This window comes from Homo sapiens, chromosome 22 (assembly GCF_000001405.40).
Source record: "Homo sapiens chromosome 22, GRCh38.p14 Primary Assembly".
NCBI classification, from domain to species: Eukaryota; Metazoa; Chordata; class Mammalia; order Primates; family Hominidae; genus Homo; species Homo sapiens.
The window spans coordinates 37,751,090-37,764,170 of record NC_000022.11 but is presented as its reverse complement, the minus strand read 5'-3'; the positions used below and the strand labels follow the sequence as shown (position 1 = coordinate 37,764,170).

Sequence of the window (13,081 nt, the reverse complement as noted above, 5' to 3'; positions counted from 1 at the left end):
AGGGAATCAAGGTTGCTAATCAGCTGACCTTAAAATCGGGAGATTATCCCAGATTATCCCTCAAGCCCAGTGTAATCACAAGGGTCCTTAAAAGTGGACGAAGGGGGCAGAAGCGAAGAGTTCAAGGGAGGTGTGACCAGGAAGGGATGGTCAGAGTGACGTGGCAGGAGAAGGACTCGACTTCCCCTCTGCAGGCTTTGAAGATGAAGGAAGGGGCCGAGAGCCAAGGGACGCGGACGGCCACCAGAAGCTGGAGCAGGCAAGGGATACAACGGGTGCCTGCAGAGGAACACAGTCCTGCCCACGCCTTGGCTGCAGCGCGGCAAGACTCGCGTTAGACTTCTCGCCTACAGAAGCGTGAGGTAATACATGTGCATTATTTAGGTAGCTGTGGTTACAGGTTACAGCTGCCACCAGAAACTGATAGGCAGGCGGCAGCAGCCACCGACAGGACCCTGGGGTGGCAGCTGGCAGCAGAAGGAGTGTGAGGGTGTTGATTTCCAGCCTTTCAATTTGTTTAAATTATTTTTGAAAATGTAAACATTTCTTTTATATAATTAAAAAAATGTTTAAGGTCATTAAAAAGGGAAGGGGAAGAAGAGCCAGGGAAGAAACTAAGGCACAGAGGACCAGATGAGGGACTGTCTCCCCCACGCAAAGGCCACCTCCCCGCCTCTCCAGCAGCCACACCTGGGGACGATTTGATGGAGGAGCGAGGGCCAAGAGCTTCATGTGGCGACAGGGGTGTCTGTCCCCTGGCTTCTGTTCCTGCCCTCTATGTGTCTCCTGGCTTAGGACAACAGAACATGACTTTGGACCTCAGAGGCGGTCTTCACCCTGGCTGCGCCTTGGAGTGAACCTGAACAAACCCCTCGCCCCCTCTGAGCTTCAGTCTTGGCATCCGTAAAGCAGGCCTCACAGGACCAGCCCCCGAGGCTCCCTGGGCACGGGAACCCTGTGCACAGAGGGAGACGGTACGCCAGCATCCACCAGTGGGGAGCCCAGCAATGTGGGGGTGGGCACTGCTCTTCTGAAGAGGGCCAGACCAGGCAGGCAGACCCAGCAGCTCAGGGGTGCAGGGGCTGACATCAGGAGGTGGGACTCAGCTGACGAACAGGGGCTCCTAGGGCCTCTCTCACCTACCTTCCTGAGTGGCCCAAGGTGTCCTGATCCTGGCTGCCACCTTTGACATGGACATCAAAGTAGATAAAGAAATGCCTCTGTCCCCACTGCAATAGTGGGGAAAGGTTCTCTTTACCAGATGTCCAGTGGGTGAAGCCCCAGACCACCCGACAGCTGTCGTGCAGCAGCAAGCCCCCAACCCCTGAAGGAAGGGCACCCACTCAGCCCGAGATACCAGCTGGGGAATCCCTCCCAGCTGTCACTCCTCCAGGTCCACCGAATTTCCATCCGCCTCCTCCCGTGCCTGAGGGCGATACAGATGACTCAGCTCTTCTTCTCTGCTGCCTTCCGCATCTGGGGTCACTCCTCCACCTGCCTGGTCTTCAGCTCTGCTCCCCAGTTATTCCCTTCTCCCCTCCCACCTGCTCCCCGTGCCCATCCCACCCTAACGGGACCAAACACTGACAGACTTTGGTGCACCCAATGGGGCACCTGGGGACCAGACCGCCTGAACTCCAGACACAGGTCTGCCTATAGCTCAAAGGTCACACCCTTCTGTGGGCCTCAGTTTTGCCACCAGTAAGCTGAGAAGCCAAAGCAGTGCCTTTTAAACGTCATTGTAGTGGCAGAGCCTTTATCTAAAGGAAATCTAAAGCTGGCTCTATGAGTAAAACGGACAAAGGTGGGCCAGTGCAGTGGTCACACTTGTACCCCCAGCACTTTGGGAGGCCAACATGAGAGAAGCACTTGAGCCCAGGAGTTCAAGACCAGCCCAGGGAACATAGTGAGACCTTGTCTCTACAAAAAAATTTTTTTAATTAGCCAGGCATGGTGGTGTAGCCTGTGGTTCCTACTCAGGAGGCTGAGGTGGGAAGACTGCTTGAGCCCTAGAGTTCGAGGCTGCAGTGAGCCTCTGTGCCACTGCACTGTAGCCTGGGTGACAGTAAAAGACCTCATCTCTAAAAAAATTAAAATAAAATAAAATGGAGGAAGATGAAGCCACTCTGATTATAGGTGGGTACGAATGGGTCCCAGCCCCACCCACCCAGAAAGCAGCCCCTGCAGCTTCTTAGAGCAGAGCACGCAGGCAGAAGCCCCCTGGCTGGGGGCCTCGGAGGCCCTCCCACCTGCCTCAGCTGGGGTGTTGGGCCCCCAGCTCCCTTCTCTGCCTCAGGGTGGGAGGCTACAGGGCACAACACTGGCTCCTCCCCTGCCCCTCCCCAGGACAAGGTAAGCCCCCAGCCTCACCCTCTGCGTCCCACCCCAATTCCCCTGCCTGCTCCTCTATCAGTGGAAACTCCATCCACTACTTGGCCCCAGGACGGTCTCCGGGCTTCCCTGGAGCAGCAGCCCCAGCCTCAGGGCCCCCAAAGGCCCCTCTGCCTTCCGTAGATCTGGTCATCCAGTCCCAAATTCTCCTCCCTCCAGACCCTTGACATTCACCCTCCTTCAGCCATTTCCTAATGCCTTACACCTGGCCCTCTCCCAAGCCCCCTCCACTCCAACATCACTTTCCTGATGTCACTGTCTGACCCCAAACCTCCAAAAGTCTGTGGAATGAGCTTCTCTTTTTTTGTTTGTTTTGTTTTTTGTTGCTGTTTTTAGATAGAGTCTCACTGTCACCCAGGCTGCAGTGGCAGGATCTCAGCTCACTGCAACCTCTGCCTCCCGGGTTCAAGCGATTCTCCTGCCTCAGCCACTGGAGTAGCTGGGATTATAGGCGCCCACCACCATGCCCTGCTAAGTTTTGTATTTTTTTTTTTTAGTAGAGACAGGGTTTCACCACTCTGGCCACACTGGCCTCGAACATTTGACCTCAAGTGATCCACCCACCTCACCTCCCAAAGTGCTGAGATACAGGCATTAGCCACCGTACCAGGCCAGAGCTTCTAACTATTAGCTCAGCACTGGAGGCATCCACAATACGCACCAACCAGCCTTCCTTCTCATGCCCCAGCCAATGCCTTCCTGAGAGCCCCCTCATGACGTGACCTCCCCTTGGAAATTTTTAGAAGGCTCCTCCTGCCTAGGGCCTAGATCTCAGCCTTCTTTTCTTTTCTTTCTTTTTTTTTTTTTTTGAGATGGAGTCTTACTCTGTCGCCAGGCTGGAGTGCCGTGGCGCAATCTCGGCTCACTGCAACCTGCGCCTCCTGGGTTCCAGTGGGTCCCCTGCCTCAGCCTCCCAAGTAGCTGGGACTACAGTGCGCACCACCACGCCCGGCTATTTTTTGTATTTTATTAGAGACGGAGTTTCACCATGTTGGCCAGGTTAGTCTCGTTCTCCTGACCTCGTGATCTGCCCACTTCGGCCTCCCCAAAGTGCTGGGATTACAGGCGTGAGCCACTGCGCCTGGCCCCTTCTTTTCTACTTTAGATAATGGTGTGATAACTACAGACAGCTGATTGTCAAATTTTTAGTAATTCTGTGATGTAGTTGTTAAGCACAGCCATTAACAATTAAATTTATATACTTTAAATTAACTATGTTAAAGACAAGGCAATAGATACTCAAATTTATTACTTCCTAAATATTTCACTGTGTTGTATTATGCGTGCTCTTGGGGCCAATCACATCTACTGTATCCGCATGGTGGAAATCCTAGTGAATAGTGTGACATCTCTTCCCAACTCTCTGTCCAGGGACTTTGTGCTGGTAATGCAGCATTGGCCACAGCGGGAGTATTTACACTGCAGAATTGGTAAACATTACACATCAGGGCTTGATTTATTGTTTTGTTGATTGTCTAGACTTAAGCAAGTGATAAGAAAATGCTAATAATGCAGATTAAACTTAGAAGTATCTCACATCTATAACCATTACATTGTAAATAGAACAAAAAATTGCAAAAATATTCTTAATAGAATATTCTCAAATATTCTCAATAGAAAACTACTATCCGATCTAGCAAAGAAGTAGCTGACAACATGGACCAGTAAAGTTTCGACAAATGTCTTCTCATCTTACTCATTACCATAAACAAAAATGTCAACCAGCACACGTTAGAACAACCCCCTTTGTTAATCAGTTGTGGATACAAGAGTATGGAAAAAATCACTGAAAGCATTCTGAGAAAAATCCATTTGCTGTACGGAATTCACAATAAAATTATATATTTTTATTTGTAAATTGTGTACTAAGCATTGTTTTTATTGGTAAAATTTATAATAAACTTATATATGTGTACACACACACGTTTTTTCTAGAGAGTTAGTTTGTCCTAGTTGTGACAACCAGAAGTATTCCCAGACACAGCCAAATGTCCCCAAGGGGGACAAAATGGACCCCGTTGAGAACCGCTGTCCTAGGCGGACGGTGCATTCTCTGAGGGCTACTGGAGGCTCCCCTGTCCTGCAGACCTCCTTGTGTGGGGCCTTGGCCCAGTGGGCCTCGGCAGGATTTCCCTGTGTTCAGGGAGTGACTCTCGGGGCCACTAGCCCCCCACTTCCCCGGGGCAAGGGTCCAAGTGCAGAGTGTCACACGGGGACTCACACACAGGCTCTGCAGTCAGCCGGACCCTCGCTCAAATCCCACCTTTGAGACCTGCAGGCGGGGTGACCTTGGGCAAGTCACATAACCTCTCAGAGCTCAGTGGCCTTGTCTGTAAAACGGGCACAGTGATCACGCCCACCAGCTGTGGGGAGAGTAAATGAGATGACGCATGTCAAATGCCCCACACAGGTTCCAGCACACACAGGAAGGGCTCCCAAAATCTCAGCTGTTTCCTGATAACACGGCAAGCAGAAATCTGCCCCCTCCCCCTGAAAAACAGCCCCCCGGCCTTACCTGTGAGATGTAGCCCGGGGGGATGTGGCCATCCTCCTGGGATCTCAGTGCACTCTGAGGAGCCTCCCCTTGGAGACGCCACGCCTCCAGCTGGGCCCGAAGAGCCTGAACCTACGAGGGAGAAGGGTGGTCAGTGGGACCTGGAAGCTGGGGCAGGGCTGGTGGAAGGCAGTGAGGAGCCCGCAGGCTTCCAGCTCCACACGGATACAAGCCCAGCGTCCCTGGAAGGCTTAGGAATGCCTCAGGGTTTGAGAAGGGCAAGCAGCCCTGGAGTGAGATGTAGCCAGGGGACACGCTGGGCTGTTTCCTGGATGGCCAGGTCAATGACCTGGGAGAGCCTTGGCCCAGAGAAGGCTAGACAGGGATAGGAAAAGGAAACTGTGGTCACAGATGTTTACACATCATGGAGGTGACAGAGGAAACATCTTTGAGCCTCAGTTTTCCCGTCAGTAAAACTGCTGAAGTCCACCCTAGGGGTAGAGGCCGCTGTGAGGATTCCACGAGTCAGTGCAGGCAGGGAGGCCACGGGCAGAAGATGAACAATAAACGGTCTCGCCCTTCTTCTTCTTCTTTTTTTTTTTTAATCTGAGACAAAGTCGGGCTCTATTGCCAGACTGCTGGAGTGCAGTGGCTTGATCTTGGCTCACTGCATCCTCTGCCTCCCGGGCTCCAGCCATCCTCCCACCTCAGCCTCTCAAGTAGCTGGGGCTCCAGGTATGCACCAGCACGCCCAGCTAAATTTTGTATTTTTTTGTAGACATGGGGTTTTGCCATGTCGCACAGACTGGTCTCAAACTCTTGGCTTCAAGGGACCCTCCCACCTTGGCCTCCCAAAATGTTAGGATTACAGGTGTGAGCCTGGCAGGTCTCTCCCTTCTCTTCCCACTTCTCTTCTCTATGGCTGCTAAGGGCAGAACTAGGAAAAAACAAAACAAAACCAAACCAAACTACTAAGGTCTAAGGAAGAAGATTCTAGTTCGCAGGAGTGTGGGGTGCACACTCACAGCAGATCAGGGGTGAGCTCCCCATCACTGTAGGAGTGCAAGACAAATGCCAGGGCATGAATGCAGGGACTGGAGGGGCGCTGGGGCAAGGGGCCTCCTAGAGAGCCAGCCGTGGTGCCTACCTCCTTCTCCAGTGCCTCGTGGCCGTCACTTGGGGGCCCTCGGCGCTCTCCGCGGCTTTGGTTGAGCAGGGCAGTGAGGGGCACCCGCTTATTCTCCCGCAGGGGCAGCTTCTCCAGCTCCTGCCACTTCTTCTCGATCTCCTCACTAAGCCGGTTTTGCTGGTCCTCAGTCAGGGGGGCACCCAGGCCCCGGCGCGGCCCCTCACCAGCAGGCACCTCTGGGGTCCTGCTGTCTGTGGCCTCAAACCACTTGCGCCGCTCCTCGGAGCGCTGGGCCAGGTCCCGCTCCAGCTCCTCCTGCTTGGCCAGGCGGTCAGGAGTGCGGGCTGGGGTGCGGGCCCGCTGCGGGGAAGCCTGGGTCAGCGGCGAGAGCTCCACGTAGTCCAAGGCCTGACGCTGCCCGTCCGCCTTCCGAGGGCCACCCCGGCTGATGACCTCAGAGCCCGCCCGCTGCTCCCCTGCCTTCAGGGGGCCCTTCTGGGTGCTGTAGCTGTGCAGCGCGTTCTCCTTGTTAGAGTCCGAGAGCCTAGGGCACCAGCAGAGCCACGTCAGGTGGGTCCTCACCCCTGCAGTCCCACAATGAGCACTTTTGGAGCGACACCTGTGTGCCAGGCCCTGTGCCAGGGGCTGGAGACAGACCCCAGGGAAGGAAGCAGCCCGACCTGAGCTTCCTGGTTAACAGACCCCAGGAACATCCCAGCTCCACCTCTTGACAGCCCAGGGACCCACCAGGATGCCCGGCTTCCCTCGCCCCCGTTCTTGTTTTTGTTTTTCAAGGGACAGGGTCTCACTCTGCTGCCCAGGCTGAAGTAGAGTGGTGTGATCATAGTTCACTGCAGCCTTAAACTCCTTAGCTCAAGTGATCCTCCTGCCTCGGCCTCTGGAGTAGCTGGGACTACAGACATGCACCACCACGCCCAGCTAATTTTTTAAATTTTTGATAGAGATGGGGTCTCAATATATTGCCCAGGTTGGTCTCGAACTCCTGGGCTCACGTGCTCCTCCCACCTCAGCCTCCCAAAGCTCTGGGATTACAGGCGTGAACCACCACACTGGTCTCTTTGCCCTCTTTGAGCTTCAGTGACCTCATCTGTAATGTGGGACAGCGACGCCTCTCACAGGATGGATGTGAGGACAGGGTGGGCGAACGTGGAAAGCAGGCAGGGGGCTTTTTGCAAATGGTGATCAATGAGGTGATGTAGGAGACCAATGTCCCAGGTTCCCGAGGCTCACAGTGGCAAGGGGGATGCCCAGTCACTGCTGATGGGGTGAAGGCGGGACCTCGGGGTGCACAGAACACAAGTTGCAGAGACTCTGAACAACTATGGCAATTCTCTTTATCCACAGTCATAGCTGGGTACGTGGTCACCCTGCCAAAAACTACACTCGCAGTATTCCCACAGCTACTTGTAGCCATGTGACTATAGGCTGCCGAGTGGGTGTGGCAGGTGGCTCCCCTGAAACGGCAGAGCGAGCCCCACCAGGCCAGGACTGCATACCTCGGGGCTGTTCTGAAGGGAGACATGAACATCTATCTCGATGAAGTTACTGTGCCCGGGGTTTCTTTCTTAAAGCAGCTGGGCCTAGATGCTAAATAACAGTCCAACTGCACAGTGCTTCAGAGTTCACAAAGTGCTCTGGGCACATCCTGGCACATGTACAGACATGACATGCTAACGTGACAGATGGGGACTCTGAAACCTAGACAGGAAAGCCTCTGGCCTAAGGCTGAATAGCCGCGGTGTGGCCAGTCTGGGGGACTCGGCCTCCGGGCTCAGGTGATCCTCCCACCTCAGCTGACAGGCGCACCCTACCACGGCCAGCTGATTTTTAAATTTTTTGTAGGGACGAGGTCTCACTATATTGCCCAGGCTGGTCTTGAACTCCTGAGCTCAAGTGATCCTCCCATCTCAGCCTCCCAAATCGCTGGGATTACAGGTGTGAGCCACTACACCCAGCCCAGCCCCCTTTAATACCACACTCTGTTCCCGCTGCCCAGCAGCTCCAAGTCCCAGCCCGCCATGGGCATCTGGGTATAAACTGTGGGGGGCTCTGCCACTCGGTAACTCAGCCCTCCTGCCCCAGTGCCCGTGGCAGCCTCCAGAAGGAGTGAGCTCCCCATCCCGGGAGGTGTGGGCGCCAAGGCTGAACTACCTAACCACCCCTTCCTAACACAGGCTTAGACACGGCCCCCACGGCACAGACACAGAGACAGAACAGCCACCTGGCAGGGGCTTTTGACTCACAGGCATCTCCTCCAAAGAGAAGAGGCCCCATCACATTTGAGAAGACAGATCAAACCTCAAACCCTCAGTGTACTTCTGGATGATACCGAGAATGCTCACTACTCTCTTCCCATGTTGTTGACAGAGAAACGAGGGCCCAGAAAGGTGCAGCCCTCAGGTGAGTACCTAGAAACCCACTCGGGGACGCAAGGGTAAGTGCCTCCCTCAAGGCCCCAGTCCAGCTTAGTACGTACTTGGTGACATCTGGGGCTGAAGTTGGACGTACGGTCTTTCTCAGAGCCTCGATCCAGTTCCGCCGGATGCCTGAGGTCATGGCCGACAAGGTATAGACAGCATCCTTGGTCTGCAAGGCCACCGCATGGGTAGGTTGCCACATGGCCAGCCGCATGACTCCCTCCCCACTATGGACCCCAGGGAGGGTGGCCCTTCCTTCCCAGGATGCATCTAAGGTCTTGAGTCTGGGGTGGGCAGGGGGTACAAAACCTCCCTTCCATTGGCCTGGGAAGAGCCCTGCTGGCTCCAGCGTCTCCCCCAGATATGCTAAGTGTTGGCATCACAGCTCTGGCTCTGAAGATAGGGCCTCTGGGTAAATGAGTGAAGGGATCCAGTCTCCATGGTGAGCCATGTTCAACACCAAAACCTCCCCCAGGGACCTCCAGCCATGCTGCCCACCACCAGCCCCCAAGCTGCACACAGCCTCACGTGGATCTGGAAGCCATAGTTGCGCTGCACCGCGTACTCAGTGACATCCGTGCAGGAACGCAGGTCGATCTCACCATCCAGCTCATCTGCCTGGAGCAAGAGGGCCCACTATGGTCCGTGTGGGCCCTGGTGTGACCCACCCCAGTGAACCCAGCCAGGCCACCCCAGGCCCTTCCGGGGGTTCATCAGTACACCCATGGCCTCACCTCCTCAGCAGTGGAGTCTCTGTAATATTTGAGACTTGAATCTGTCAGCACAAACCAATGTTTCTTCCACTGCGAAGTAGAGGTGGTGGTGAGCGAGGGGGAGGGAGGCTGCAAGGAGGATGGAATGAAAGAGCCAGTGTGTGTGATTGTACAGGTGTCCTGTGTGGCTGCCAAACTCACTATGCTGCACACAGGAGGGGTGGGGAGGCGGAAAATGCCAATTTGAGACCTGGCCCCTCCATTTCCTCTCTGAGCCTCAGGGGTAGCATCTGTGAAATGGATTGGTTTCCCCTCCGTAACCACACCCTCCCTTTCCTTCTTGGAGCTCCTTTTAAGATTGCCAAGGCTCCTCAGGCACCCCGGACCCAGTGCAGACAGGGAGGGGTGATGACCTGTGTAAGCAAGTCAGGGACTCAGCGGGGCCAGGACGTTACGTCTTTTTCCATATTCCCCCAGATCATCACCATGGTCAGGGACAATGGTCCCCTGGGAAGTAGGACTGGATGGAGCCCTGGAGTAGGAGTGAGTGCCAGCCACAATCTGCTGCCTTTTTTTTTTTTTTTTTTTGAGATGGAGGAGTTTTGCTCTTGTTGCCCAGGCTGGAGTGCAATGGTGCAATCTCCACTCACTGCAACCTCCCCCTCCTCCTGAGTTCAAGTGATTCTCCTGTCTTAGCCTCCCGAGTAGCTGGGATTACAGGCGCCCGCCATCATGCTCAGCTAATTTCTTGTATTTTTAGTAGAGATAGGGTTTCATCATGTCAGCCAGGCTGGTCTCAAACTCCTGGCCTCAGGTGATTCACCTGCCTTGGCCTCCCAAAGTGCTGGGATTACAGGCGTGAGCCACCGCGCCCAGATGCACGGTCTGCTTCTTGAACTGTAGGCTGGCTACCCACATCCGCAGCAGGTGAGAGCGCCCTAAGCTGTAAGTTTAGGATTTGTGATTGGGTGCCTTCCTGCAGTGCCTGTCTCTGCTCCAGCTGGGGTTAGATTGGCAGGACATGTAGGAAAGGGGTGGGGGCGCCAGAACAGCCTGATAGTATGCCAAGCCCAGCCCACCTCTGGGCTTCTGGTCACTCCACTGGAATGCCAGTCGCGGCCCGCCCACTGCCAGGGTCAGTGCATATCACCCGGTCCCCAGCCCTCCCAGGGTTCCCTCACATCACCAAGCCCTGTCTGTGCTGTTGGTTGTTTCAAGTACTTAGTTTTCTCTCCTCAAGAAGATGGTAAGTTCTCAAGGGGCATGCAACGACGATACCTTCTGCTTCTTTCCACATTGCCTCCCTGAGAAAAGGAGTTTTGTATCCAAGAGTTCCCTTTCTCTCTGTGTGCCTTTAGGCAAGTGTCTCCACTTTTCTGAGCTTCAGTCTTCTGAACCATAAAGTAGGGCTACTAAGAAGTCCCTATAGCTGGGCGCGGTAGCTCGCGCCTATAATCCCAGCACTTTGGGAGGCTGAGAAGGGTGGATCATCTGAGGTCAGGAGTTCGAGACCAGCCTGACCAACATGGAGAAACCCTGTCTCTACTAAAAATACAAAAAAAAATTAGATGGGCATGGTGGCGCATGCCTGTAATCCCGGCTACTCGGGAGGCTGAGGCAGGAGAATCGCTTGAACCCGGGAGGCGGAAGACACAGTGAGCCGAGGTTGCGCCACTGCACTCCAGCCTGGGCAACAAGAGTGAAACTCTGCCTCAGAAAAAAAAAAACAAAAATAAAAAACAAAAAAAGAAGTGCCTAGACCTTCTGGTGAGGCGAGCGGCGCCCATCCTCTCTTGTGTGGATGGCTGTCATGGCCCTTGGCATAGGGATGGACACCAACCAGGTTGCTGGGTTTGTTCTGGGAGGCCAGGCCTCTTAGAAGCATTTTCCTCTCACTAAGTAAACGGAGTTGCTGCTGCAGACCTCAATTGCCTCTCTGTAAAGTAGGACAGGGGTTCTATGCCAAGAGGTTTCTTTAGCTCTTCCAGGCCTAGCCTATGACTGTCTGAGATGGAAGCTGGGTGGAGCTCCATGGGCCTCAGGTGCGCTGAGTTCTGAGCCTGGGTCTGCCCCAGGTGCTCCTAGGCCTGGAAGAGACCAACACCCTCATGGGCCCGTCTCCTGTCTGTGCACCAAGGGGTTGGGCTGGCTGAATTCCCAGGGCCCTTCCAGTTCGGACATTCCAGAACCCTGTGATAGAGGATGACTAATGGCCAGCTCTGGGTGGGGCCTGTAATCCCTCTGCCCTCCGGGGACCCTGGGTGGGGAGGCCAGGAAGGGGTCACTGGCGGGGTGCCGGGCTTTGTGTGAGCCTAGAGAGCAGCCACCAGGGACAGCGGGCAGGCAGCGGGTAGGGAAGGCTGTGGGCTGGAGGGAATAAAACATGTGGGCCGGAAACACAATGAAATCCCCTCTGGCTCAAAGCCCTCTCCGGCATGCAGGCTGCACGCAGACCAGAGCAGCAGGCGCATGCAGGGCAGGGGTGGGGAGACGCTCCTGCCCAGGCAGTGTGGGCAGGGAGCCAGCCTGGCAGCCGAAAGAACAGAGCTGAGGAAACAGCCACTGTCCCTGCTGGTTCCAAGGACACATATGCCAGAGGAAGGGAAGGGTCTTTAGCTGAGCCCACAGTAAGTGCCAGGAGCTTTGTGGCACCTGTACGTGCTTGATCTCTCTGACCTTGTTATCCACTCTAGAAAGAATCACCATTATCCATTATGCCCATGTCACAGACGTGGCCACTGAGGACTAGAGGAGGCTTTGACTCAACCAGTGGGGATCCAGGTGGGTGAAACCCCAGCACCTGCGCCCTGAGCCCCACCCCCCTCAGACCAGGCTTTAGGAATCTGTGTCTCGGGCCAGACAGCTTCTACGAGCCCTTCCACCCAAGACCCTTGACTCCCACCCAGGCTCCTACTGAGGTGGCAGGGCCAAGAGACTCTTGATGAGATCAAGGGATGGGGCACTGGGTGTGAGGGGCTAGACGGCCCCTTGCTGTGATCCCTTTTACACACTGCAGACTGCTCCAGGAGGCAGAAGCCTAATGGGCAGCCTCCACCCCTCCCAGCCCCACCCCCAGGGTTCTCACACCAGCCCCAGCCCCACCCCCACTCCTGGGCTGCCCAGGGGCCCAGCAGCAGCACAAGCCAGCTTCCTCCCCTCCGGCCTCAGTCCTCTTACCTCTCCAGGCTCGTCCAAGATCGACATCCATCCCTTCTTGAAGTTGAGCAGATCGGGCTGTGGGGAGATGAGGAGGGAGGTGAGTTGGGTCCAGCAGGAAGCCAATGGGGGCTGGTGAGGGGAGCGTGCTGCACCCACCCTGTCCCCAAGTCCTGTGGGACCGAGCTCCTGGGAAGCCAGCCAAGAGGGCTAAGGCCCTAGGTAACCCCCAAGTCCAAGCAGGCCTCCCAGCCACTGAGGCAGCCCTGGCCCCTTTCCTGATAGTGGCACTCAGAGAGCCAAGAAGTTGGGCTGGGTGGCTGGCACACACACCCAGATGTCCCAGGGGCCTCTCTCCAGCCGACCCCTCGCCCAAGAATGGGAGAGAGGGGCTGGGAGGACTCTGCCTGCATAGAGACCCCCTGAGAGCTCAGAGGGCAGTCCAGACCAGCAGCACTGCGCGAACTGTCCAGTTCCTCCCTCTGACGAGGACCAAGTGCCCCACGGACCCTCCCATGGGCCCGCCAGTCCTGTCCTTTCCTCGGCTCCAGGAGACTATGGGAGGTGGAGCCAGTCACAGGCTGGGGTCAGAAACCCTCTGGTCCCCGCCTAGATCTCTTTGGGAAGGGTCAGTCCTGGCAAGCCCTACCTTCTGGGTGCCGCCCAGGGGGGCACAGCCCCGGGGTCTGGGGGCTACCAGCTGCAGCATGTCCCATGGAGACCTGTGCCAGGCACCCCCACCCAGGCCTAGATAAAGAAG

The 13,081-nt window shown here is 55.5% G+C and overlaps 1 protein-coding gene across 3 annotated transcripts in view, besides 6 other annotated features; it reads right to left on the bottom strand.

The window, feature by feature from the left end:
- TRIOBP (TRIO and F-actin binding protein) overlaps positions 1 to 13,081 on the bottom strand; it is a 79,509-nt gene that overhangs the window by 12,386 nt on the left and 54,042 nt on the right. For 2 of the 3 annotated variants that reach the window (NM_001039141.3, NM_007032.5), the window contains 6 exons: positions 12,343 to 12,399; positions 9,187 to 9,294; positions 8,981 to 9,070; positions 8,512 to 8,621; positions 6,033 to 6,558; positions 4,907 to 5,017 (listed from right to left, as the gene is read on the bottom strand). In NM_001039141.3, the coding sequence (NP_001034230.1) occupies positions 4,907 to 5,017; positions 6,033 to 6,558; positions 8,512 to 8,621; positions 8,981 to 9,070; positions 9,187 to 9,294; positions 12,343 to 12,399 (1,002 nt within the window). Of the gene's footprint in view, positions 1 to 4,216; positions 4,755 to 4,906; positions 5,018 to 6,032; positions 6,559 to 8,511; positions 8,622 to 8,980; positions 9,071 to 9,186; positions 9,295 to 12,342; positions 12,400 to 13,081 lie in introns of those variants that run through there. The other variant, NM_138632.2, reaches the window with a different exon arrangement.
- Positions 1,230 to 1,730: an enhancer, noted in NCBI's record as "H3K4me1 hESC enhancer chr22:38158448-38158948 (GRCh37/hg19 assembly coordinates)". NCBI's record gives its function as "activates a minimal SCP1, AML or CMV promoter by ChIP-STARR-seq in naive H9 embryonic stem cells {active_cell/tissue: H9 hESC(naive)}" and the evidence as "EXISTENCE:reporter gene assay evidence [ECO:0000049][PMID:30033119]".
- Positions 6,516 to 6,680: a silencer, noted in NCBI's record as "fragment chr22:38153498-38153662 (GRCh37/hg19 assembly coordinates)". NCBI's record gives its function as "represses an EF-1alpha promoter that drives an FKBP-Casp9 reporter gene in an ReSE screen in phorbol 12-myristate 13-acetate-treated (for megakaryocytic differentiation) K562 erythroleukemia cells {active_cell/tissue: K562(+PMA)}" and the evidence as "EXISTENCE:reporter gene assay evidence [ECO:0000049][PMID:32094911]".
- Positions 8,150 to 9,349: an enhancer, noted in NCBI's record as "CDK7 strongly-dependent group 2 enhancer chr22:38150829-38152028 (GRCh37/hg19 assembly coordinates)". NCBI's record gives its function as "activates an origin of replication core promoter dependent on BRD2, BRD4, P300/CBP, MED14 and CDK7 cofactors, with strong dependence on CDK7, by STARR-seq in HCT116 cells {active_cell/tissue: HCT116}" and the evidence as "EXISTENCE:reporter gene assay evidence [ECO:0000049][PMID:35650434]".
- Positions 10,997 to 11,617: an enhancer, noted in NCBI's record as "H3K27ac-H3K4me1 hESC enhancer chr22:38148561-38149181 (GRCh37/hg19 assembly coordinates)". NCBI's record gives its function as "activates a minimal SCP1, AML or CMV promoter by ChIP-STARR-seq in primed H9 embryonic stem cells {active_cell/tissue: H9 hESC(primed)}" and the evidence as "EXISTENCE:reporter gene assay evidence [ECO:0000049][PMID:30033119]".
- Positions 10,997 to 12,631: a biological region, named in NCBI's record as "CDK7 strongly-dependent group 2 enhancer GRCh37_chr22:38147547-38148746".
- Positions 11,432 to 12,631: an enhancer, noted in NCBI's record as "CDK7 strongly-dependent group 2 enhancer chr22:38147547-38148746 (GRCh37/hg19 assembly coordinates)". NCBI's record gives its function as "activates an origin of replication core promoter dependent on BRD2, BRD4, P300/CBP, MED14 and CDK7 cofactors, with strong dependence on CDK7, by STARR-seq in HCT116 cells {active_cell/tissue: HCT116}" and the evidence as "EXISTENCE:reporter gene assay evidence [ECO:0000049][PMID:35650434]".